Source organism: Homo sapiens, chromosome 15 (genome assembly GCF_000001405.40).
Source record: "Homo sapiens chromosome 15, GRCh38.p14 Primary Assembly".
Taxonomy (NCBI): Eukaryota; Metazoa; Chordata; class Mammalia; order Primates; family Hominidae; genus Homo; species Homo sapiens.
The window spans coordinates 76,565,303-76,593,008 of record NC_000015.10 but is presented as its reverse complement, the minus strand read 5'-3'; the positions used below and the strand labels follow the sequence as shown (position 1 = coordinate 76,593,008).

The window sequence follows — 27,706 nt, the reverse complement described above, 5'->3', positions numbered from 1 at the left end:
CCCTGGCTTCAGCCCCCTTTCCAGGGTAATGAATGGTTCTGTCTCGGTGGTGTTCCAGGTGCCACTGGGGTATAAAAAAATACTCCTGCAGCTAGCTCGGTGTCTGCCCAAAAGTCCACCCAGTTTTGTGCTTGAAACCCAGGGCCCTGGTGGCATAGGCACCCAAGGGAATCTCCTGGTCTGCGGGTTGCAAAGACCTTAGGAAAAGCATAGTATCTGGGCTGGAGTGCACCATTCCTCAAGGCACAGTCCCTCAAGGCTTCCCTTGGCTAGGGGAGGGAGTTCCCCAAACCCTTGCGCGTCCCAGGTGAGGCAACACCTCACCCTGCTTTGGCTGACCCTCCATGGGCTGCGCCCACTGTCTAACCAGTCCCAGTGAGATGAGCCAGGTACCTCAGTTGGAAATGCAGAAATCACCTGCCTTCTGCGTTGATCTCGCTGGGAGCTGCAGAATGGAGCTGTTCCTTTTGGCCATCTTGCCAGCCACCAAACATTTTTTTAGAAAGGACCAGGTTGTAAATATTTTAGGGTTTGTGGGCCTAAAGTGAGGGTCTATATTTTAGGCTTTGTGAGTCTCACTTATTCAACTGTCTATCTTTGTAGCATAAGGGAGTCACAGAGAATACATAAATCAATTTGTGTGACCATATTCAAATAACATTTTATTTGAGCAGTGGGCTGTGGGCTGTAGTTGGCCTAACTCTGCTTTAACAATTACATAAAGTCATAATTGAAATGCCTCTTTATTTCTAAAATATCTTCCTTTCCTCTAAGATGCCATTTTAAAAATATTTTAATTTCATTCCTAAGTATTACCTATTTTTATATACCTATATGTAGAACCTATATAACCTATATATTACCTATATATCTCTCTATATATATAACATAGATATTATATATATAATCTGTAGGTAGGTAGATAGATAGATAGATATACATTTTTTGAGACACATGATCTCACTCTGTTGCCGAGGGTAGTGTGCAATGGTGCAATATCAGCTCACTGCAGCCTCAGCCTACCAGGCTCAGGCAGTCTGCCCACCTCAGCCCCCCAAGTAGCTGGGACTACAGGCATGCGCCACCCTGTCTGGATAATTTTTGTATTTTTTGTAGATATGGGGTTTTGCCATGTTGCCCAGGCTGGTCTCAAACTGCTGAGGTAAAGCAATCCACCCACTTTGGCCTCCCAAAGTACTGGGATTATGGGCATGTGCCACTGCGGCCCAGCCTATATTTTTAATCTTTCTTTGTAGAAACTTATATATATATTTTGATTGGCAACTTGCTTTTTACTGTTAATATTTTGTGTACTTTTTTACTTTAGTAGTGATACATAGTATTCTATTGTTTGAGTATTCTACAAAAAAAATGCAAAAAGTAGCCAGACATGGTGACATGTGCCAGTAATCCCAGCTACTCAGAAAGCTGAGGTGGGAGACTCACTTGAGCCCAAGAGGTTGAGGCTGTAGTGAGCCATGATTGCACCTCTGCACTCCAACCTGGGCAACAGAGCGAGACCCTGTCTCAAAAATATGTAGATATATTAAAAGAATATTCTGTAATATATTCAAGAATTACTCTATTGTTGTCCACATATATTTTTCCCCTTTCCATTGTTTTTGTTATTGCCACAGACAAGAACTTTATTTATATGACATTGTATATATGTAATTTTGCAGGGCAGAAAACCAAACTGTCCTCCTGGGCGTGCAGCCTGCACTCGGAAGGGTTCCACCCTGGTTTAAGTCGACTATTGCTGTCTTGAAATTGTTAATACATTTGAATGAAGGACCCTGCATTTTTCTTTTTCTTTTTTTTAATTTGTATAAATTTAAGGGTTGAGGTACAAGTGCAACTTTGTTACAAAGATATATTTCATAGTGGTGTAGTCTGGGCTTTTAGTGTATCCATCACTGATAAAATGTACATTATACCCATTAAGTCATTCTCATCATTCACCACCTCGCCTGCAGTTATGAGTCTTCATTGTTTATCAGTCCACACTCTATGTCCATGTGTACACATTATTTAGCTCCCACTTAGAAGAAAGAAGATGCAGTATTTGTCTGTTTCTGAATTATTTCACTTAAAATAATGGCCTTCAGTTCCACTCATGTTGCTGCAAACATACATGATTTCATTTTTTAAATGACTGAATAGTATTTCCTTGTGTGTATGTATCACATTTTCTTTATCCAGTCATCTGTTGATGGACACTTAGGTTGATTCCATATCTTTCCTATATCGAATAAACTGTGATAAACATACAAGTGCAGGTATCTTTTTGATAAAATGATTTCTTTTCCTTGGGGTAGACATCCAGTAGTGGGATTGCTGGATCAAATGGCAGTTCCATTTGTAGTTCTTTGAGAAATATTCATTCTGTTTTCCATAGAGGTTGTGCTAATTTACATTCCCACCAACATTATATAGGCATTCCCTTTTTTCTGCATCCCCATCAACATCTGTTTTTTTGTCTTTTTAATAATAGCCATGCAAATTATGTACCCAGTCTTGCTTAGAAATGAAATTTTTTGGGCCAAAGTCTATGTGCATTCTGATTTTAATAGAACCTTGTAATTTTTTATAGTGTATTTACACTCTGCCAACAGTTATGACATTCTCTTTCCCTTAAATAGGATGCTATTGAAAAAAATACATTTTCCATGTTTTCATAGGCTGCTTATTCAAATATATAAACTTGTATTTTAGTTCATGAGTTAAAAATCAGACTTAATTTTCATCCAAGCCTCCATTTCCAACTTATAACATTCTATCTAGTCACACTCGAAAATGGCAGATAGGAGGCGGGACTAAATTGCAGTTCCCACTTGGACAGACAGAGCAGTGTGTGTGGAGACTTGCACTGTTGAACTTTTGCTCCAAGAACTACTGCAGGAATATACCAGCAAAGCCGAGAGAATCCACAGACCCTCTGAAGGAAGTGGATTGCTCCTACGATCCACTGGGAGACAGTCCAAATACTGTGAGTGCCCAAATTGTGAAAGTGGGAAAGGAGGATGGTCCACCCCCAAACACACACAGGGGAACCTGAAGTTCCAGATCGTGGAAGAAGGATTTGACCTTACCTGGAGCTGAGTCAATTTAGAGAGCAGCATGAAATACAGGGGTAGAGGAGGCCACGGCAGAAACCCTGTGGGCTCTCTGCATCCCCAGGGAAGCCATTTTTGACTTGTCTCACAGGGGTCCTTCCAGAGGGCTGCCAGAGGAACTGGGAAAAGACCACAGGGAGAAGGAAACCTCCAGCAGAACTTTGTAACAATTCCAACCAAACGCGAAGTCTCCTGGCCAGAACTTGAGGGAGAGCATGAATCCAGTGTGCAGACTCAACAGGCAAGGAGGTGTGAAAGCCCTCCTTGCTTTCTCAGCTGGGAGGCTGGTAGCCTGGGGCATGTTCTCAGCTGAGCTTGCCCACTGCCTGGAAACAAACTTAGTGCTGTTGCAGGGGGCACAGTGGGAGTGACACCAGCCTTTTGGGTTGCATGGGAGCCGGGGAAGGCTTGTGGCTGTCAGCTTTTCCCCACTTCCCTGACAACATGTATGACACAGCAGAGGCAGCCATAATCCTCCTGGGAACATAACTCCATTGCCGCAGCAAGCCCCACCCAAGGAGAATCTGAGCTTAGACATGCCTAACCCTGCCCTCACCTGATGGTTCTTCACTACCCACCCTGGTAGCTGAAGACAAAGGTCATATTCTGTTAGCTGTTCTTGGGCCCCACCCACCGCCAGATCCTCCCTTATACTACTACAGCTGATCCTCTCTTGAAAATGCCACCTCCTGGCAGGAGACCAAACAACACAAAACTAGTGTATTAAACGACTGCAACTAAGGACCCTCACAGAGTCCATTTCATTCCCTTGCCATCTCCACAGCTGGGAGACCTGAAGACAGTTCACATTAGAGATATCTGTGCAGATACCCCCCAGTACCAGCCTGGAGCCTGGTAGTCCTGCTGTGTGGCTAGATCCAGAAGAGAACAATCACTACAGTTCAGCTCTCGGGAAGCCACATCCCTAGGAAAAGGTGGAGAGTACTACATCAAGGGAACAGCCCATGGGACAAAAGAATCTGAACAGCAGCCTTGAGTGCCAGATCTTCCCTCTGACATAGCCTACCCAAATGAAAAAGAACCAGAAAAACAATTCTGGTAATATGGCAAAACAAGGTTCTTTAACACCCCCCCCAAAAATCACACTAGCCACCACACCTGGCCAAGGAGTTCTAAATCTTGAAGCAAATCCTAGAAACACATCAAAATAGAACCTCTTTAAAGCGTAAATCTCACAGGACCTATAAAACAAAAATACAATTTAAAGACAAACAAGTTATACAGGCAACCAACAGCACAACAAATGGGATAGTACCTCACATCTCAATACTCACGTTGAATGTAAATGGCCTAAATGCTCCACTCAAAAGATACAGAATTGCAGAATGGGTAAGAATTCACTAACCAAGCGTCTGCTGACTTCAAGAGACTCACCTAACTCATAAGGACTCACATAAACTTAAGGTAAAGGGGTAGAAAAAGACATTCCATGCAAATGGAAACCAAAAGCGAATAGGAGTAGCTATTCTTATATCAGACAAAGCAAACTTCAAAGCAACAGCGATTGAAAAAGACAAAGAGGGACATTATATAATGATGAAAGATGTTGTACAACAGGAAAATATCACAATCCTAAACATATATGCACCTAACACTGGAGCTCCCAAATTTATAAAACAACTACTGCTACCTAAGAAATAAGAGAGACAGGGCCGGGCGCGGTGGCTCACGCCTGTAATCCCAGCACTTTGGGAGGCTGAGGCAGGCAGATCACGAGGTCAGGAGATCAAGACCATTCTGGCTAACACGGTGAAACCCCGTCTCTACTAAAAAATACAAAAAATTAGCCAGGCATGGTGGTGGGCGCTTGTAGTCCCAGCTACTCGGGAGGCTGAGGCAGGAGAATGGTGTGAACCTGGGAGGCAGAGCTTGCAGTGAGCTGAGATTGTGCCACTGCACTGCAGCCTGGGCGACAGAGCAAGACTCTGTCTTAAAAAAAAAAAAAGAAAAGAAAAAGAAATGAGAAAGACAGTAGCACAGTAATAGTGGGGGACTTCAGTACTCCACTGACAGCACTAGGCAGGTCATCAAGACAGAAAGTCAACAAGGAAACCATGTATTTAAACTATATCCTAGAACAAAGGGACTTAACAGATATTTCTACCCAACAGCCACAGAATATACATTCTATTAATCAGTTGTATGGAAATTTATCCAATGTAGACCATATGATAGGCCACAAAACAAGTCTCAATAAATTTAAGAAAACTGAAATTATATCATGTACTCTGTCAGACCACAGTGGAATAAAATTGGATATCAACTCCAAAAGGAATTTTCAAAACCATGCAAATACATGGAAATTAAATAACCTGCTCCTGAATGATCATTGGGTCAACAATGAAATCAAGATGGAAATTTAAATATTCTTTGAACTGAACAATAACAGTGACACAGCCTATCAAAATCTCTGGGATACAGCAAAGAGGAAAGTTGTTCATAGTCTTAAATGCCTTCATCAAAAAGTCTGAAAGAGCACAAATAGACAATCTAAGATCACACCTCAATGAACTAGAGAAACAAGAACAAACCAAACCCAAACCCAGCAGAAGAAAAGAAATAACCAAGATCAGAGCAGAACTAAATGAAATAGAAACCAAAAAATAAATACAACAGATAAATGAAACAAAAAGCTGATTCTTTGAAAAGATAAATAAAATCAACAGACCATTCTATTGATTGGGAAGATCCAAATAAGCTCAATTATAAAACGGGAGATATTACAACTGACACCACAGAAATACAAAAGATCATTCAAGGGTACTATGAACACCTTTACGTTCATAAACTAGAAAACCTAGAGGAGATGGATAAATTTCTGAAAAGATACAACCCTCCTAGCTTAAATCAGGAAGAATTAGGAAGCCTGAACAGACCAATAACAAGCAGTGAGATTTAATGATAATTTAAAAATTATCAACAACAACAAAAAAAAATCCAGGACCAGACAGTTTCACAGCTGAATTCTATCAGGCATTCAAAGAAGAATTGGTACCAATTCTACTGACACTATTCCACGAGATAGAGAAAGAGGGAATCCTCCCTAAATCATTCTATGAAGCCAGTATCACCCTAATACCAAAACCAGGAAAGAACATAAAAAAAAAAGAAAACTACAGACAAATATCCCTGATGAAGAGACCAATATCCCTGATATTTAGTAGACTTGAGCATCTGATTTTGGTATCCATCTGGGGATAGTGAAACCATCCCCAAACGGATACCAAGGATAACTGTATATGTAATATACACACACACATTTATACACACATATATATGTATGCATATGTATATACATTCATTTATTTATTTTCTAGCTCTGTTCATTGAAGAGGCATGAAAAGAATGCCCAACTCAGTAGCAAAGAGCATCTCTAGTGCTCACTGATTTGGGGTTTGAAATATCTTTTCTCAGTAAAAGAAACAAGAGCTTCTTGGGGAAATGGCTAATTCCTGATCTGAATGTCTAAATAAAGCCCTAAATTTATTTAATTAATTCCAGATATGAATGTCTCAAAATAGCTCTAAATTTAGACCATGTACCTTCCAAATAGAGGATATGAAAGGTTAATTAATTTATGTCTTCCTATCCATTATGCTAAAGAACAATCTTAGTTCCTAAATGGACCAAGTATCTTTTTTTACACTTTTACAAATCTTCTAAATGATCCTAGTGGACCACCCCACCACCCCATGCAAACTTAACTATGATAAAAGTTAGGAATTCTGGGAGAGATACTTTTACATTTCATATTTACCAATGACAGACTTGAGCTTAGAGTTGCTGAAATTTGTTCCAGTTTTAAGAAGAAAATATTGATCTTACAGCATTATTCACAAAACCATTTACCTGACAGATACTTCTCATATTCCTAGGTTGGGAGATACAATGCCTTCACTTCTTCTTTTCATGCTAGAAAAATTATCTGCCAGAAGGAATCCAAATAAAACTTTCTGTTGTTAAAAACTACACTCTCTAAGCAGCTCCTGTTTTTGCACTGTGAGGAAAATATAGCTCTCAGAGCTTGACTTCTCTGACATTCTATAATTATTTATAGTATGAATTAAAATCTAGTGCTTTTTTCTTTACAGGGGCTATTTTATTTGTTGTACTTCTGTGAAGGCAGGGAATGAGACAGGGGTGTAGCTCAAATTACCAAAGCATCCCCTTGATTTGGCATTCTTTCTTGAAGGATAGGTTCAGAATTGATTTACCTCAGGGTGAAATACAAGCCTCTTGTATTCTGTGAATTAAAATGGTCCTTGTGCCTCCCTCAGTACTGCTGATTTTCAGTCAAATGTCAGCATTCTTGTTAAGAATAGTGCTAGATTCATATATATCTGTTGCTATGGCTGCATATTTAGTTACATGGTATGCAGACATTAGCCAAAAGCTGAAGTGGCTACTTACCTATCACACAGTGAAGTTCACTGCCAATAATCTTCCACATAAGGTCAGTAACTTTAATTGGATGTGACTCTAGCCCATATTTGATTGGAAGGTAAAAGAAGTATGCTGCCATTACTCAACTTTTTTTTTTATTTTTAATATTCTCTTTTTCCATTTGTTAGATTGAGACATACTATCAGTGAACAGTAATAATAGTCGACCATTTATTGAATGTCTACTTTAGTGTGTGGTGTCAGGATTATTATAGTAATCATTTCTAACCTCCCAAAGCTCTGAAAAGAAATATATATTATCCTGACTTTTAAGATGAAGAAACTGAGATTCAGAGAAGTTAAATAACCTCCCCAGGGTTTATACACATGGTGTGTGCTGGAGCCAGAATTCAAGTATAGGTACTTTTGATTTTAGAGTTTCTATTTCTGTTCTTTGACTTATCAAAGTAAGCTTCATGTAAATAGCTGAGGCTTAAACTGAAGTTCACCAGTGCCTTTTTGAGTGGCATTTGTTGTTGTATTCTTTGAAAAATTTTAACGTTTACATAAATTTTTAGATGAAATTGTATTCTGGGAATATAGTCTTTTGTGAATAGAACTTTCTTATTTAAATTGAGGCTGGACATGGTGGGCTCACATCTGTAATTCCAGCACTTTGGGAGGCTGAGGCAGGAGGATCACTTGAGCCCAGGAGTTCAAGAACAGTGTGGGCAACATAGCAAGACCCTGTCTTTTACAAATAAATAAATAAGTAAAAATTAAATTGACTAATACGGTAAGAACGCAAAAGCATAAGATTTGAAGATTAAAGGCTTAGGTTTCAAGTTCCATAGTACATTTTACCAACTGTGTGACCTTGGGAAGATCACATAACTTTCTTGAGCCTTAGATTTTGCATTTTTTTATATTTAATTTTTGTGGGCACACAGTAGGTGTATATGTTTATGGGTACATGATATATTTTGATACAGGTATATAATGCATAATAATCACATCAGGGTAAATGGGATGTCCACCACCTGAAGCATTTATCCTCTCTTAATGTCACAAACTATCCAATTATACTCTGTTATTTAAAAATGTACAATAAATTGTTGACTGTAGTCATTCTGTTATGGTATCAAATGCTAGGTCTTATTCATTCTATCTAACTATATGTTTGTACTTATTAATGACACACACTTCCCCACTACCCTTACCAGCCTCTGGTAACCATCGATCTACTCTCTATCTCCATGAATTCAGTTGTTTTAATTTTTAGCTCCCAAACATAAGTGAAAACAAGGAAAGTTTGTCTTATTTCACCTGGTTTATTTCACTTAACATAATGACCTCCAGTTCCACCTGTGTTGTTGCAAATGACAAGATCTCATTCCTTTTTATTGGTGATATATTCCATTCTGTACATATACTACATTTTTTTTATCTGTTTATCTCTTGATGGACATTTAGGTTGCTTCCAAATCTTGGCTATTATGAATAGTGCTGCAATAAACATGGGAGAACAGATACCTCTTCAATATACTGATTTTTCTTTTGGGTATATACCCACCAGTGGGATTGCTAGATCATATGGTAGCTCTGTTTCTAGTTTTTTGAGAAACCTCCAAACTGTTCTTCATAGTGGTTTTACTAATTTATAATACATTCCCACCAACAGTGCATGAGGGTTTCCTTTTCTCCACATCCTCACCAGCATTTGTTATTGCCTTTTGGGTAAAAGCCATTTTAACTGGAGTGAGATGATATCTCATTGTAGTTTTGATTTGCATTTTTCTGTTATCAATGATGTTGAGCACCTTTTCATATACCTGTGTGCCATTTGTATGTCTTCTCTTGAGAAATGTCTATTCAGATCTTTTGCCCATTTTTTAATTAGATTATCAGATATTTTTCCTACAGAGCTCTTTCAGCTCTTATATATTCTGGTTGTTACACCTTTGTCAGATGGATAGTTTGTAAATATTTTCTCCCATTCTGTGGGTTGTTTCTTCACTTTATTGATTCGTTCCTCTGCTATGCAGAAGATTTTTAACTTGATGTGATCCCATTTGTCCATTTTTTGCTTTGGTTATCCATGCTTATGGGATTACACTCAAGTTTTTTTTTTTTTTTTTTGAGATGGAGTCTCACTCTGTTGCTCAGGCTGGAGTGCAGTGGCTCAATCTCGACTCACCACAACCTCTGCCTTCCGGGTTCAAGCAATTCTCCTGCCTCAGCCTCCCGAGTAGCTGGGACTAGAGGCATGTGCCACCATGTCTGGCTAATTTTTTAATTTTTAGTAGGGACAGGGTTTCACTATGTTGGCCAGGCTGGTCTCAAACTCCTGACCTCGTGATCCGCCCACCTTAGCCTCCCAAAGTGCTGGGATTACAGTTATGAGTCACTGCACCTGGCCTACACTCAGGAAATTTTTGCTCAGTCCAATGTACTGGAGAGTTTCTTTAGTGTCTTCTTGTAGTAGTTTCATAGTTTGAGGTCTTAGATTTAAGTCTTTAATTCTCTTTGATTTGACTTTTGTATATGACAAGAGATAGGGAACCAGTTTCATTCTTTTGAGTATGGATATCCAGTTCTCTCGGCACCATTTATTGAAGAGACTGTCTTGAGACTGTTTTTTCCTCAATGTATATTCTTGGTGACATTGTCAAAAATGAGTTCTCTGTAGATGTAAGGATTTGTTTCTAGATTCTCTATTGTATTCCACTGGACTATGTGTCTGTCTTTATGTAAGTACCATGCTGTTTTGGTTACTATAGCTTTGTAGTATACTTTGAGGTCAGATAGTGTGATTCCTTCTGTTTCGTTCTTTTTGCTCAGAATAGCTTTGGCTATTTTGCGTCTTCTGTACTTTTATATAAGTTTTAAGATTGCTTTTTCAATTTCCGTGAAATAGAAAAATACTTATTTCGTTAGTATTTTGATAGATTGCATTGAAACTGTAGATTACTTCATATAATATAGACATTTTAACAATATTCTTTCATTCTATCAACATGGAATGCCTTTTCATGTGTCTTCTTCAGTTTCTTACATCAGTGTTGTATAGTTTTCATTGTAGAGATCATTTATTTCTTTGGTTAATTTCTAGGTATTTCATTTTATTTGAAGCTATTGTAAATATGATTAGTTTCTTGACTTTTTCAGATTGTTTGCTGTCAGGATGTAGAAATGCTAATGATTTTCATATGTTGATTTTATATCCTACAGTTTTACTAAATTTGTTTATTAGTTCTAATAGTTTTTTGGTGGAGTCTTTAGGTTTTCCAAACATGAGATCATATCATCTGCAAAGAAGGATAATTTGACTTTTTATTTTTCAATTTGGATGCCCTTCATTTCTTTCTCTTGTCCAATTGGTCTAGGTAGGACTTCCAGTACTATGTTAAATAACAGTGAAAGTGGGCATCCTTGTTTTGTTTCAGTTCTTAGAGGAAAGGCTTTTAGCATTTCTCTGTTCAGTATACTAGCTCTGTGTCTGTCATATATGTTTTTTATTGTGTTGAGGTATGTTCCTTCTATACACAGTTTTTTGAGGGTTTTTATCATGAATGAATGTTGAATTTTATCAAATGCTTTTTCAGGCCAGGCATGGTGGCTCACACCTGTAATCCTGGCATGTTGGGAGGCTGTGGCTGGCAGATTGCCTGAGCTCAGGAGTTCGAGACCAGCCTGGGCAACATGGTGAAACCCCTTATCTACTAAAATACAAAAAATTAGCCAGGCATGGTGGTGTGAGCCTGTAGTTCCAGCTAGTCAGGAGGTGAGGCACAAGAATGGCTTGAACTTGGGAGGCAGAGGTTGCAGTGAGCTGAGATCACACCACTGCACTCCAGCCTGGGCAACAGAGCGAGACTCTGTCTCCAAACAAAAATAAATGCTTTTTCAGCATCAATTGAAATGATTATATCGTTTTTGTCCTTCATTCTGTTGATATGATGTATCACATCGTTTGCTTTGCGTATGTTGAACCATCCTTGCATCCCTGGGATAAATCTCATTTGGTCACAATGAATGATCTTTTTAATGTGTTGTTGAATTCCATTTGCTTGTATTTTGTTGAGGATTTTTATATCAGTGTTCATCAGGGATATTGACCTATTGTTTTCTTTTTGTGCTTTGTCTGGTTTTGGTATCAGGATAATACTAACCTCCTAGAATGAGTTTGAAAATATTCCCTTCTCCTCCACTTTTTAGAATAGTTTGAGTAAGATTGATAAGATTGATATTACTTCTTTAAATATCTGGTTAAACTCAGTAGTGAAGCCATCAGGTCCTGGACTTTTTTTTGTTGTTGTTGTTGGGAGACTTTTTATTATGGCTTCAATCTCATTAGTTGTTTACTGGTCTCATCAGATTTTGGATTTCTTCGTAGTTCAGCCTTGGTAGGTTGTATATGTGTAGGAATTTACTTATTTCTTCTAGGCTTTCCAATTTATTGGCATATAGTTGCTCATGGTAGCCTCTAATGATCCTTTGAATTTCTGTGGTATTGGTTATAATGTCTCCTTTTTCATCTCTGATTTTATTTGTTTGGGTCCTTTTCTTCTTAGTCTGACTAAAGGTTTGTTGATTTTGTTTATCTTTTCAAAAAACCAACTTCTCAATTCACTGATCTTTTGTATTATTTTCTTTCAATTTCATTCATTTCTGCTCTGATCTTTATAATTTCTTTTCTTCTAATTTGGGGTTTGGATTGCTCTTGCTTTTCTCGTTCTTTAAGATGTAGCTATAGGTTTTTTATTTGAAGTTTTTCTACTTCTTTGATATAAATGCTTATAGGTACAAACTTTCCTCTTAGTACTGCTTTCACTGTATCTGATAGGTCTTGTTATGTTATGTTTCCATTATAATATTTTCAAGATTTTTTTTTATGTGTGGAGATGGGGTCTTGCTTTCCTGTCCAGGCTAGCCTCAAGCTCCTGGCTTCAAGGGGGCCTTCTATCTTAGCCTCCCAAAGTGCTAGGATTACAGGCATGAGCCACCACACACAGACAGCTGTTTCAAGAAAAGTATTAATTTTTTTCTCAACTTCTTCATTAACCCACTGGTCATTCAGGACCATGTGGTTTAATTTCCATGTGTTCGTATAGTTTCCAAAATTCCTCTTATTGATTTCTAGTTTTATTCTAGTTTTGTCAGAGAAGACTATTGATACAATTTCAGGTTTTTGAATTTTTTAAGACTTATTTTGTGGTCTAACACTTGGACTGTCCATGAGAATGATCCATGTGCTAAGGAGAAGAATGTGTATTCTTCAGCCATTGGATGAAATGTTCTGTAAATATCTAGTAGGTTCATTTAGTCTATGGTGTAGATTAAATCCAGTGTTTCTTTGTTGATATTCTGTCTGGATGATCTGTCCAGTGCTAAAAGTGGGGTGCTGAAGTCTCCAGGTGTTACTGTATTGGGGTCTGTCTCTCTCTTTAGTTCTAATAATATTTGCTTTACATATCTGTGTGCTCCAATATTTGGTGCATATATATTTATAATTATTATATTGTTTTACTGAATTGACCCTTTTATTATTGTATAATGACATTCTTTGTTTCTCTTTATAGTTTTGTCTTGAAATGTATTTTTTCTGACATAAGTATAGCTACTTGTACTCTTGTTTGGTTTCCATTTTCATGTAATATCTTTTTCCATCCCTTTATTTTCAGTCTGTGTGTCTTTATAGGAGAAATTTGTTTCTTGTAGGCAACAAATAGTTGGATCTTCTTGTTTTAATCCATTCGGCCATTACATGCCTTTTGATTGGAGAGCTTATTCCATTTACATCCAGTTATTGATAAGTAAGGACTTATTTGTTATTTGTTTTCTGGTTATTTTGTGGTCTTTTCCTTCTTTTCTTCCTTTCTCTCTTTCTCATAGTGAAGGTGATTTTTCTTTAGCAATGTGTTTTCATTTCTTGCTTTTTATTTTTTTTTTTATGAATCTTTTGTGTGGTTTTTGGTTTGAGTTTACCACGAAGCTTGCAATTGATATTTTATAACCCATTATTTTAAACTGATGACAACTTAACACTACTTGCATAAAAAAACTAAATAACAAACAAGCAAAGAAAAAACTAATAAAAACTTTACATTTTAACTTCATCCCTCTGCTTTTTCACTTTTTGTTGTTTCTATTCATATCTTCTTGTACTATGTCTTAAAACATTGTTGTTGTAGTTACTATTTTTTTTTTTTTTTTTTTTTTTTGAGACAGAGTCTCGCTCTGTCACCCAGGCTGGAGTGCAGTGGCACCATCTCAGCTCACTGCAAGCTCCGCCTCCCAGGTTCATGCCATTCTCCTGCCTCAGCCTCCTGAGTAGCTGGGATTACAGGCACCCGCCACCATGCCCAGCTAATTTTTTGTATTTTTAGTCAAGGCAGGGTTTCACCGTGTTAGCCAGGATTGTCTCGATCTCCTGTCCTTGTGATCTGCCCGCCTCAGCCTCCCAAAGATTATTTTAAATTATTTTTATCTCTTCGCTAAATGTATCTGATAGAATTCTGAATTCCTTCTCTGTGTTATCTTGAATTTGAGTTTCATCAAAACAACTATTTCGAATTCTCTGCCTGAAAGAGTCACTTATCTCTGTTTCTCCAGGATTGGTCCCTGGTGTCTTATTTAGTTCATTAGGTGAGGTCATATTGGGTGTTTGTAGGTGTCTAGGGATTGAAGAGTTAGGTATTTATTGTAGTCTTCATGGTGTAGGCTTGTTTGTACCCATCCTTCTTGGGAATGTTTTCCAGGTATCCAAAGGGACTTGGGTGTTGAAACCTAAGCTATTGGCCACTGCAGTTATATCTGCATTTGGGGGAACCCCAAGCCCAGTAACACTATGGCTCTTATAGACTCGTAGAGGTACTGCCTTGGTGGTCTTGGATAAGATCCAGAAGAATTTGCTGGACAACCAGGCAGAAATTCTTGTTCTCTTCCCTTATTTTCTCCCAAACAAATGGAGTCTCTCTCTCTCTGTGCTGAGCTGCTTGCAGCTGGATGAGGGTTGACACAAGCACCCCTGTAGCCCCCACCACTGGGCCTGTGCTAGGTCAGACCTGAAGCACAGATTACTGTGTCTCGCCCAAGGCGCACAGTAACCACTGCCTGGCTACCACCTTTGTTTGCTCAAGTCCCCCTAGGGCTCAGCAATCAGCAGGTAGCAAAACCCGCCAGGCTTATGTATTTCCGTTCAGTGCAGCAAGTTCTGCCTGGCCCGAGCAGGTCCAGATATGCCATCCAGGAGCCAGGGCCTAGAGTCAGAAACCTTAGGAATCAACCTGGTGCTGTGTTCTACTGTGGTTGAGCTGACACCCAAACCACAAGACAAAGTCCTTACCACTCTTCCCTCCCCTTTCTATAGTCATAGGAGTCTCTTCCTGTGGCCACCACCACCCCAGGCCTATGGTGAGTACTGCCTGGCTACTGTCAGTGTTCACTCAAGGCCCAAGGGCTCTTCATTCAGTTTGTGGTGTATGCTGCCTGGCCTGGGCCTTCCATTCAGGACAGTGGCTTCCCTGTGGCCCAGTTCAGGTGCAGAAATACCATCCAAGAGCCAAGGCCTGGAATCAGGGACCTCAAGAACCCTCTTGTTGCTCTGCCCTACTGTGGTCAAGCTGATACCTAAGCTGCAAAACAAAGTTCCCGTACTCTTCCCTCCCCTTTTCTCAAGCAGAAGGAGTCTCTCCCCGTAGCCACCACAGCTGGGAATGGGCTGTATCCCATCTGAAGCCATCATGTCTCTGAGTCTCACTCAAGGCCCTTGGCGAGTGCTTCCTGGCTACCACTGCTAACTCGTGAGGGCCCAAGGAGTCTTTTGTCAGCAGATGACAAATCCTTCCAGGACTGGGTCTTTCCCTTTAAGGTAGCCCATTCCCTTTTTGCCCAGGATATGTCTAAAAATACCATCCAGGAGCTAGGGCCTGGAATGGGAGCCTCAGGATTCTGCCCAGTTATTCCGTCCTACTATGGCTGAGCTGGTTTCCAAGTTGCAAGACAAAGTCCTCTTTTTTTCTCCTTCTTCTTCTTCTTTTTGAAACAGGGTATTGCTTTTTCACCCAGGCTAGAGCGCAGTGGCATGATCATAGCTCACTGCAGCCTTGATCTTTGAGACTCAATTGATCCTGCCTCCTCAGCCTCCTGAGTAGGTGGGACTACAAGTGTGTGCCACCACACCCAGCTAATTTTTGTATTTTTTGCTAGAGACGGGCTTTCACCATGTTGCCCAGGCTGGTCTTGAACTTCTGGGCCCAAGCAATCCGCTTGCCTCAGCCTCCCAAAGCACTGGGATTATAGGTATGAGCCACTGTGCCTGGCACAGAGTCCTCTTTAGTCTTCCCTCCCCTCTCCTCAAGCATAGGGACGGAGTCTGTACCAGAGTTGTGAGCTGCCTGGGGTTGAGAGAGGGGTGGTGCAAACACTCCCTTGGCTGCCCTGGCTGGTCTCATAGGTCACATTCTTCCCAAGTTCACTGGCTCCGAGCCCAGCACAACACCAGGACTTGCCCAGGAATTGCAGTTCTTGTGGCTTAAACCTCCTTTCAAGTTTATTTAGGTCCCCAGAACACTTTAACCTGCAACTCAGGTTCCGAGTGCTAGGATGGGCGATTCCCCGCTTTCTAAGGTTGGTATAAATGCTCTCTCTGTGGGGGCCAGCTGAATTGTGTCCTGTTGCTTTCCACTGTAACAGGCTAGCACTGATTTCCAAGGCAAAGTCTCACTGCCACTGTGCTTCCTGTCTCCCAAGTGCATAGACTCTCTGTCTGCACCACAGGGTGGCTGCCAGGGTAGGAGGGAGGGGTGGCATCAGCATTTCAAGACTGTCTTTCCTGTCTCTTCAGTGCCTTTTTCAGTGATACGAAGTTAAAATCAGGTACTGTGGTGATTCACACAACTTTCGGTTCTTATTAAGGTACTTTTTTATGTGGATAGTTGTTCAATTTGGTGTTCCTGTATGGAGGACATCTGTGAAGGCTTCTATTTGGCTATCTTGCTCTGCATCAGTTTTTGCGTTTTTCAAATAGGGATAATACTTATTGACAGTGTTGTTGAGAGGATTAAATAAGATCATGTACATGAAAGTATTTTGTAACCTATGAAGTTATTGGGTTTTTTTCTTTTTAGAGATGAAGGTCTCACTCTGTTGCCCGGGCTGAAGCGCAGTGTTGTAAGCTCACTGCAGTCTGGAACTCTGGAGCTTAAGCAGTCCTCGCACCTCAACCTCCTGAGTAGCTAGGACTACAGGTGCACGCCACCATTGCCAGCTAATAGTTTCTTATTTTTTGTAGAAACTGGGTCTTGCCTTGTTACCCAGGCTGATCTCAGATTCCTGGCTTCAAGTGAACCTCCTGCCTTGCCCTCCCAAAGTGCTGGGATTACAAGCATGAACCACCATCCTTGGTCTGGATATTGTTAAAATTAATGTAAAGAAGAAGTTTTCTCTGTAGGACATGAATTTATTAAATATCTAATGAGTGTACTTATGTAAAAGTAGCATGTTACATGATAAGGATAAAGCAGTGAGCAGATAGACGAGCACCTCGCTCATGAAGTTAATACTCTGCTTCTGCACTGTTCAATACAATAGCTTCTAGCCACCATGTTGGACAGTAAAAACACAGAATATTTCTATCACTTCAGGAAATTCCCTTGTAAAGCTTTGCATAGGAGAAGCACACATTAAACAGTTAGTTCAGTAAGTATTTTTAATTCTCTTATGATGAGTGCTTTGAAGAAATAGTCAAATCAGAGAAAGTAATGTTTGTGCTAAGAGCTGAGGGATAAATAGTAATGTTCTAGGTAATGTGGGAGTGGAGGAAGCATTTCAGAAGGAAAAGATGAAGAACATTGCAGAAAGACCTGAGACAGGAAGAAGAGAGAGCTTGAGATCCAGAAAGAACTCATGCATACATCCTGTGTGGTGAAATTAGTCCTGTCTGGAAGGAATGACTGTAATAAGAGGAACAGAGAAGAAGATGAGTGAAATGCAGATAAGCTTGTAGATTTTATGGCCGAAAGTGAAAATTTTCTTGTTCCAATAACTTCTGTTTTCTCTTTGAAATGTAGGATCATCTTATGAAAGCAAAAGAGAGAAAGGAAAGGGTGGACTTTTGAAGAGAGTGGGGAATGTATGAAGCAAACCTTTGTGGATAGTGGGAGAATGAACACCCTAGGGAGATTTAATAAGATCTTGAATCAGTAGTCCTACCAGTATTTTGCATGGTCTGACTCCCCCCACACCCCCACCCCTGCCAGGTTCAGAAATGGAAAAGTCTGCCAGTTGTTTTCATTAATCCAGCTAAAGAAATTAATGCATGCAAGACATTGAGAATGGTGCCTAGCCCATAGTAAGAGCTAAACAAACATTATTACCACGGCTGGGGTTTGTCTAAGAAGAGTAAAAAACAGAACAACAGAGAGGAAATGTAGGACATTTGCAAGAAAATGATTATAATGATGTACTGTGGAATCTACCACAGATAAAAATTTAAGGCAACGGGGATGATATATAGGGGAAAAGTGGGGAGATCTGGTGAGCATCTATTAGTGGATTCTCAAGTAAATAAGTGGAAAGCAGAGGAGGGTTGCTCCAAGAGTGAGGTACCAGGTAGGGGCCACAAAGAAGTAATGCACACAGTGATCTGAATGAAGACTCTTACAGTCTAGGTATAATGTGGTATTTCTTGGTGAAAACTAAATAAATGTTCTGTCGTCTAAGTAAATGATATGAGCAGTAGCAGACTATCCCCAAACTGCCTGTAAACAAACATTTGGAAGTTCAACATTCTGAGAGTTTATAAAGCTAATAATATTCGAAGATTTAAATCAAAATATAAAAACCTGCTCAGGTTCTTATACTCATTTTCTCTGCTCTCATCCTCTGGCCTTCTCCCCCTTCCTAATTCTGTTCTAATTTAAGAATCATACAGAAACTAAAGGCATCAATTGCTCTAGCTAATCCTGTAGATTGATAATACTATCCTCTAGTTCTGTTTTGTGCCATGAAGAATGAATTGGTGGTCATGAATATAAAATAACACTAGCTTTATTGGTTGTCTGGTTTTTTCTCCCCTCAGATGCTCTGTGAAGCATTTTCAAATCCAATACTGAAAGTAACTTGTGTTTCAAAGTGTTTTGGGAAATGAAGATTATAGTCTGTTTCATTAATGTCATTCTTTCCTTTCATTTGGTATTAAAGGCTTCAGCGATTAGCCAAAGATCTTCTAAAACAAGTACAAGTTCAAGACAGTGGCTCATGGGCAAACAATAAAGTGTCTGCTTTGGATCGGACCCTAGGAGAGATCACTAGAATACTGGAAAAAGAGGTGTGTAACTAATATCTGGCTTTTGAACCTTAATCTTTGTGATCCTTTCTCACTATGACAGTACATAGAGCTATAAGGCAGACTCAGTATATACCTTTCTTCTGTGTTTTTTAAAGCTAGTCAATAATAGATGAATTTTTTTTTTTACTTTTGTTCTTTTCAGTTGTTTAATTGAAGCTATTTTCAGGTTTTTTTTTAATTGAAGTCCTCTTTAGGTCATGGTTTCCTCAGTCATGTTTTCCTCACACAAATAAACTGAAATTATTTTGTCAGGAATCACAATAATAAAGATGTATGACTTTATGGCAGAAAATAGAAAACTTTGAATTATAAAGCCTCATAAATCACAACCAGATTTCTACAAAACACCAATATCCCCTGATTCCAACAGATTTGGCAGTTTTCTTTAATGACTTAGAATCATTAAATATCTCAATTATAGTTTAAATATCCTCAGTGATTTTTAAAGTATTTATTATTCACTATAGGAAAATGTTAAACGTACAAAGAAGAAATAAAACTTCCTGTAATAGCAACTGATAACATTTTATTGTATCTTCTTCCAAACATTTTATTGGACTTTTTTACATTATTTTATCATAAATACTTTATCATGTCTTTAAAAATCTTTAATGGAATGAACATATCACATTTTACATAATGTATAATATTTAGGTGGTTTCTAATTTTCTATTTAAAGTAATGGCTATTTTCATTTATTAGCTGTAGTTTTTGGGTTTTTGTTTTGTTTTGTTTTCTGGGTTTAAAGGTTGTAATGTAATATTTGATATGTACAAAAGAAATATTAATAAAAAATAATATGAATACAGTGAACAGCTATGAACTCACCACCCAATTTAGAGTAAGATTGTTACCACTACATTTGTGTTTCCCAATATGATCCTTTCTTACCACATTCATGATTCCTTTAAAGGGAATACTGTACAGAATTAAAGGTGTATCATTGTTTTTTAGAAATAGCTTTATTGCTTTATCACATAAATGTTTTGTTAAATAATGTTACTTGGCTTTGACCTTTATAAAATATTGCACAATAGACCTCTACAATTATTTTTTCAGTCAAAGTTATGGTTCTAAGTTTTATTTAGCCTTATAAATATAGCTGTTTGTCACTGCTTTTCTCTGCTGTAGAGTAAGTCCTTCATTGTGTTAATACAATTTTTAAATCTATTCTGACAGTGGACATTTCTCTGTGTGTGTGTGTGTGTGTGTGTGTGAGAGAGAGAGAGAGAGAGAGAGAGAGAGAGTGCACGCAAGCATGGGCAAACAGTGCTGCTCATTCTTGTATCAAAGTAAATAAACAAGAACTTCTTTAAAGCTGGGAGTCTCAGGCTTTCGTCTACATCGGAATTGCCTAGAGAACTTGTTAAAACACAGATTGCTGCCCCCAGCTCCTGCCCCGGATTTCTGATTAAGTAGGTTTAGGGTGGGTCTGGAGAATTTGTATTCCTAACAAGTTCCTAAGTCATATTGATGCTGCTAGTCCAAGGACCATATTTTGAGAATCACTGCTCTACTCTAGGGCATATGCCTCAATGGTGGAATTGTGGGGTTCTCAGGCATATCAGTGTCCAACTTTGCAAGATAGTGCTCAACTACATTTTGGCATCAGACAGTACAGTCGTCTGGAGGAATCGAAAGCAGCCTATTCAGTGTGGCATTGTGGCAGAGCTGTAAAGTCAGTTCTTGTGTGTAACACATCCCTTTCAGGATATCAGAGGTTCAGAAACTAGTACTTGTCACACATTTGCTAGAATGCAGTATTTAAAGATTTAATGTGCTTTAGGAAAAATCTCTGATCTTTTAAAAAATTATTTATATACTGATTATTTTTGTAAAGTATAGAGTACTTTGAATTAAAAGGCAATTGCTTGAAGACACTGCTACACGTATCTTATCTCATGAATATTGTTTTAGATTAAAGTAATAGAACTTTTGAGGAAAAGGCAAAATGATCTATATAAGAAAGTATTCAGTATGAAAATTTACCTAAAGTTATTTCCTTCACAAAGGGGCAATTTACTGAAATACCACTGATTTCTTATAATTTGGGGAAGAAAAATGTTGTCTGGCTCCCAGTCTAAATGGTCTGTGTCAGAAACTTGCTGTAAAGCTGTCCTCAGAGTATACACTGCAGGACCACCTAAGAGTTTAGACTTACCTACAATAAGATCCTTTTGCTACTTTTATAACTAAAATCCTTTTTACCTAGCCAAGACACACACTCACTTTATGAAGACTTCCATAGAGTAATACTGACATTTCAGTGTAATTCAGCTGATGATATTTATGATTTCAGTCTAGGAATTGTAAATAGCCATTCCTTTTTGTTTGGAAAACTGCCTGGAGTAACAAACTCATTAGAGCCAAAGCCAGGTACCCAGTGAAGGATATTTGAAGATAGTCTAGAAGTGACAAGGTAGGATGGTGGAACTTGGGCAAGTGTAAGCACTGATGGAGGAATGGTGAGAGATGAATCTTGACGTCTTTATTTGCTTAATTTAGACCTCAAAACATGGATGCTTTCTACTATCGCTTGACACACTGTTTCTTTAGATAATTTTTCTAAAGTTCTGAGAACTATTTTAGACCTAACGGGTTAAACTTGTGATGTATAGTAACGCTCTTATCATGGAAGGGGTCAGGAAACTGAGGAGACCTGGGTTTTGTAGTACTTACTATGCATTTCAGGTTCCTTCTGGTTTTTTGGGTTTTCTGATTTCATTCAGAAATTAAAAGTGTGTAAGCTTTTTATATGTGTTATGCTTTAAAAAAAATCTTAAGCCACTTCTGTTTACTAACATACTTTGGTCTAGGGTACTGGGTATCAACTCTCCCAACAAAAACAACTGAAAATGCTAGGTGGGGAAGAAAGCAGTTTTCTTAAAAGCATCAAATAGCTAAGAAGTAATTAAGGAATTCCCAGTCCACAGAAAAAGCAAGAATTTAGAAAGTTGTGCTTATAACTTAATTGCCCCAAAAAGCATGTGCCAGATTGGCAAATGTGAGTTGTGGTTTACAAGTGTCATCGTGTAAGGTGATGAAAGTAAAAGTATAAGGGCTGCCTAGGTATGAGGTCTAATAGGAGATTTTTCCGATTTTCCTTTCATAAAGATAAGACCACATTAACCTACTCCATCACATAATCATGAACCTTCTTATCCCACCCTCAGGACTATGAAGAAAGCACCTTGGCACAATGCAGAATTTATACCCATAGTCCAACCCCTGGCATAGATTTGCTGCTCAAATTCACATCACCCATATTATTTCAGATGGTGAATTGGGTTTAAAGTTGTCCTAGATTGATTTGCAGTGTCTTTAGGAATCAAGCAGAAGAGAAGACAAATCCTCATTGGAAGAAGACACCTTCATTCTAGGCCTCAGATAGTTTCTGTTAAACAATTTTACAAGGACAAGTAGCCATAGGGAAAAGATAAGCCTGAAAGTAAGTAAGTCATGATAAGTAAGCAGAAACTAGAACTGCAAGGCTATGTTATTACTAGTCACAGATTATAAAACTATGCCTGCTATCTTCTGAGGAAATAAAAGGTAAGCTTGAAAATTTCTATAGGAATGGACTTGGACTTAGCAATAGTGACAGGTAATTCAGAACTGTCCTTCCACTGATGACAATAAAACTAGATAAAATATGAAATAAAACTGAACTGCAAACAGAGTAGTGAATAATTACTGGGCCAAGATCCAGAAATTTGGCATTTTGGGACTAGGTACCGTTGATGATCAAAAAGAAGTGGACATGAGTTTGATTAGTACTTTTGAGACTGTTTGCAGGACTGGTGAGAAAAAAAAAAATGTTGGCATCTAGGACAATCAATGGTAGGGACTATGACAAAAAAAACTCATGTTTTGGTTTGGGATCTTAAAGGACTGTGCAAGGAAAAAGGGTAGACAGGAAGTACACCAGTCATTACACAGACAGCTCAGTTTCAAATCATGTAGGTGGCTGGGAAAATCCAAATCACTGAAAAAAGATTAAAATGATCCTAAATTGCTAATACCCCAGGTGGCTAACAGAAGCAATTGGAAAATTTATTTTGGAGAAAGATAATAGCAACCTAAGTCTCAAATTATCTCAACAAAATAAATTTCAAATGCAGTGTTTGGCACAGTAAGGTAATTAAGCATACAAAGGGACAAGACAACATGCATAAAAACCAATAGAAACAGACCTACAGATGCTCCAGAACTATGCTTACAATGATCAAAGATATAAATATTAATTATTTTTAAAGATATATAGCACATTTGAGAAAACAGAATTTGAAAACTGAACATTTTAGTAATAAAAATTACAAAAATTATAGGTGAGGTAACAGTAGAATAAAGCAAGCACTGGAAGATAGATCATAAGAAAGAATCCAGACTGAGCATGGAGAGAAAAAGATATAGAAAATGAAAAGAAGAGTATAAAAAGGATATAATATATGATGAAAATGTCTAATTTATGTATAATTAGAGCTCCAAAAGGAGAAGAGAGAAGTATTTGAAGTGATAATCATTTAGAACTTTCCAAAACTTACAAATCAATTTACAGATTCGAGAAGCCCAATGATGCCCAAGCAGGGTAAATAAAAAGAAATCCATGTTCACAAACGTCACAGTGAAACTATAGAAAGTAAAATTATAAACCAATCTCATTCATAAATGTGGATTCAGAATTCCTAAACAAAATTTTAGCAAACTGAATCATGCAATATCTAATAAGGATAATATATCACAACAAAGTTGGATTTATTCAAGATATTTAAGTTTGCTTTAACATTGGAAAATTATGATCTATCATATTAACAGAAGAAAAGGAAAAATATCATCTCAAAAGACACAACGAAAGCGTTTGGTAAGTTCAGCATCAATTAATGATAAAGATTCATAGTAAACCAGGAATAGAATGGAATTTCCTTAATCTGACAAATTGAATCTACCAAAAAAATTATAGCAAAATAATATTTACTGGTGAAATGTTGAAAATTTTCCCTTTGAAATTGTGTACAACAAAAATATTTACTGTCAAGACGTCTGCTTAAAATGGGGGTTCTAACTAGTGGAAAAATAAATAAATAAAAGTTGTAAGATTTGAGAGAAAAAGTGAAATAGTCATTGTTAGCAAATGATATGTTATATATAGAAAATTTAAAATAATTTACAGATAAATAGCACAAATAAGTTAGATTAACAAGGGTACTAGACAATGGGCAGTATATAAAAATCAATTATATTTATATATTATCAAAATATTAAATATCTAGGAGTAAATCTATAATGTTTATGGATTGGAAAACTCACTATAGTATATTTTTCTTTTCTACCCAGTTTATTTGTAGATTCAGTGAAATCTCATTTAAAAGTCCAACACTTTGTTCTTTGGAAATTCTAAAACACTATTTAGAATTTCTAAAGAACAATATGTAGGCGCAGATTCTAAAATATGGAATTTCAAAGATCCAATGAAACAGTATGCAAAACCCTGTTGAAAAAGAACAATATGACCAGCACTTTGCGAGGCTGAGGTGGGTGGATCACTTGATGACAGGAATTCAAGACCAGCCTGGCCAACATGGCGAAACCCCGTCTCTACTAAAAATAAAAAAAATTAGCCAGGTGTGGTGGTGGGCACCTGTAATCACAGCTACTTGGGAGTCTGAGACAGGAGAATCACTCGAACTCAGGAGTCAGAAGTTGCAGTGAGCCAAGATCGCGCCACTGCACTCCAGCCTGGGCGACACAGAGAGACTTGTGGCGCAGGGAGAGGGAACGATATGGGAAGATTTGCTCTACCAAGTATAAACACTTTTTATAAAGCCACAGTAATTAGGATAGTGTTCTATTGGAGACAAGACGGAGAAAAAGAAGAATGGAACATAATTGAATTCATAAACAGTCCCATTTGTATATATATATATATATATATATATATATATATATGCTTGATCCATGACATGTGAGGTACTTGTCTATGCACATATGGAAAAAGGAAGCACCACAAAACGTTGTGGGAAAGTGTGCTCTATTTAGTGAATAAAGGCTATAATGATTCAATATCCTTGTTTTTTAAAAAATGTTACTTCTATCTCACATCATAAACAAAAAATTGATTCCAGATGGATCTAAATATGAAAAGAAAAAACTAATTTTTAGAAGATAATATAGACTAATCTCTTCTTTACCTCAGAGTTTTACCTGGACAAGAAAATGACACAAAAGAAATTAACAATAAAGGGAAACTTGATAAATTGGGCTGCACTGAAAATAAGAACTTTTGTTCATCAAAAGGCACCAGGAAGAGGGTAGCAAGACAAGCAATAGAAGGGAAGAATATTTTACATATATATAATCAACAAAAGAGTGGCATCCAGAGTATAGAAGGAATTCCTACAAATTAATGAAATGCAAAAACAAACTAAACCAGTAGGATAATGGTCAAGAGGATAGGCATTCTGAAAGAAATCCAAATAGCTAAAAAATAAATGTGAAGATAGTCAACCTCTTTAATAATCAGGACAATTCAAATTAAAAATTCAATGTGATAATGTGATTCACTTATCAGAATGACAAAAATTAGACTGAAAATACCAAGTATTGGCAAAGAACTAGAGCAGTGGGAACATACAGACAATGTTTGTGATAACATAAGTTGAGCCTACCATGTAGCAAACAGTCTGCTGTTGTCTACTAAATTTGTAGACATGTGTATCATATTTCACTTCTAGGTATATACTGTATGGAAAGCAATGCATATATCCACCAGGCAAGATATACACAAATGTTCAATGGCAGCATTGTTTATAATCACCACATATGGAAAATAGTGCAAGAATCCATCAACAGCTGGAGATACAAATTATGGTATGTTCATATAATGGACTATTATTCAACATAAAAATGAATGAACTACATCTGTGGATAACAATATGGATATATCTCACAAACTCTTTTTAGTGAAACAAGTCACCAAAAAATATATATACTGTTACAATTCCAGTCATATAAAGTTCAAGAAAAGACAAAAGGACTTATATTGTTTTGGAATATACACATAGGTGGTAAAACTATAAAGAAAATAGAAAAAGAAATTTCCTAAAAATCAGGATCATGATTGTTCAGAGAGAAGGGTGAGATGTGTGATCAGAAAGAGTCATATAGGTGGCTTCTTCAGTGCTTCTAGTTTTCTTTTTCTTGACTGGATACTGGTTACACAGTGTTCAAATTAAAATTATTATTTAACTTGTACATACATGTTTGCTAATTTTTCTGACTTTTCTGTATGTTTATGTTTAATAATAAAATTAATTTTTAGAATTTAAGGTAAAATAAATTGCTCCAAATAAAAGAAATTTTTTATTGAAGAAATGTTATTTCAAAATTGAAGAAATTTTTTTATTGAAGAAATGTTCAATTATTTCAAAAAAGAGTTTAAAAAATACTCTTACATGTGCAAAAGTATTTTCCTTAGTCTTACCATTGTATTAAATTTGGTCCAAGTGAATGCGATCTGTATTTGCATTGACTTTTCTCATTACTTTGTGATGATAAGCATTACATTTAGGTTTGGATAGTAACAGCATCCCAGAACCTTTTCTGTGGTTTATCAGTAACATGAGACATGTGTATGCTGTTACTATAAGTAAACAGTTTAAGCAGATGGATTGGACATGGAGTTTGTCCAATTGCCTTTCCTGACTTTATAGAATCCTGCCAAATTTAAATAGAGATTCAGCTGTGACTCTTTCGAATCTGAATAAGCAAACCACATAGCTGGCAGCATTGATGATTTGAAGTGAATTGAGATATGTGAAATCACAATTTACATTATAATACCTATAGCAAACCATGCCATGCTTTGGTATTTTCAAAACTTATCTTGTAAAATTCCATTCACCGATACCTGTATAAGGTAGAAAGGTAGAAACTCTTCCCTACCATTTTCCTCTTTTTGCCAACTGTTGTGACTATGTAACACATGCCTAGGCTCAGAGAGATAAATCAGTAAGCCTTAAGAGCTTTTTCAACCTAATTATATTCAGAAAACTGTGTTCAGATCCTGCTAGACACTGCCCATCTTCCAAACCCCGTGGTTCTGCTTCTCTTATTTTCAGCTGGAATTCTTCAGCTGAAGAAATGGGAAGCATTCAACACTAGGAATCTCTTTTGATCCCTTCACTATGTTCTCAGCTTACATAGTTGTTTCCTCATTGCAACTGATACATAACTGAATATAGCTGGTATGACACCCATATTTTGTCAAAAGGTGACAAGTATATAGCCCAAAGTAAAATGAAGATGTTTTTCAGACGTTTTTCAGCTAGCTTCCCTTGGAAGACTACTATAAAGAAAAATTGAGTTGTTATTTCATGAATATGACAGATTTAACTTATAAATGGTTTGTATTTTTTAAAAAGAAACAACAAAAAGCAGGTGTTGAGAGAAGGAGAATTTACTGGAAAGGGGCATAAGGAAATTTCTAGGGTGATTAAAAAGTGTTGTGTATTTTGTTTTGGGTGGTGCTTAGATAGTTGTGAGCAGTAGTCAGACGTCATCAAACTGAGTGTATAAGCATTCCTTTTTCTCCACAACCTCACCAGCATCTGTTATTTTTTTGACATTTTAATCATAGCCATTCTGACTGTGTGAGATGATATCTTATTGTGGTTTTGATTTGCATTTCTCTAATGATCAGTGATGTGGAACTTTTTAAAAAATGATTGTTGTCTGCCTGTATGTCTTCTTTACAAAAGTGTCTGTTCTTGCCCTTTGCCCACTTTGTAATGGGGTTATTGGTTTTTATCTTGTAAATTTAAGTTCCTTATTAAAAA

The 27,706-nt window shown here is 37.5% G+C and overlaps 1 protein-coding gene and 1 non-coding gene across 27 annotated transcripts in view, besides 2 other annotated features; one reads left to right on the top strand and one right to left on the bottom strand.

Moving 5' to 3' along the window:
- SCAPER (S-phase cyclin A associated protein in the ER) overlaps positions 1 to 27,706 on the top strand; it is a 557,437-nt gene that overhangs the window by 312,332 nt on the left and 217,399 nt on the right. For 25 of the 26 annotated variants that reach the window (NR_148227.2, XR_007064448.1, XM_017022273.2 and 22 more), the window contains one exon: positions 18,725 to 18,851. Coding sequence is in view for 24 of the 26 variants with exons in the window: in XM_017022273.2 (XP_016877762.1) it covers positions 18,725 to 18,851 (127 nt within the window). In the remaining 2 variants the exon portion in view is untranslated. Of the gene's footprint in view, positions 1 to 18,724; positions 18,852 to 25,603; positions 25,740 to 27,706 lie in introns of those variants that run through there. The other variant, XM_047432630.1, reaches the window with a different exon arrangement.
- On the bottom strand, positions 6,318 to 6,362 carry MIR3713 (microRNA 3713). Its single transcript, NR_037464.1, has one exon. It is a non-coding gene; the product is annotated as a microRNA 3713 (primary transcript).
- Positions 17,325 to 17,374: an enhancer, noted in NCBI's record as "active region_9883". NCBI's record gives its function as "activates an Ori minimal core promoter by ATAC-STARR-seq in GM12878 lymphoblastoid cells {active_cell/tissue: GM12878}" and the evidence as "EXISTENCE:reporter gene assay evidence [ECO:0000049][PMID:35858748]".
- Positions 17,385 to 17,434: an enhancer, noted in NCBI's record as "active region_9882". NCBI's record gives its function as "activates an Ori minimal core promoter by ATAC-STARR-seq in GM12878 lymphoblastoid cells {active_cell/tissue: GM12878}" and the evidence as "EXISTENCE:reporter gene assay evidence [ECO:0000049][PMID:35858748]".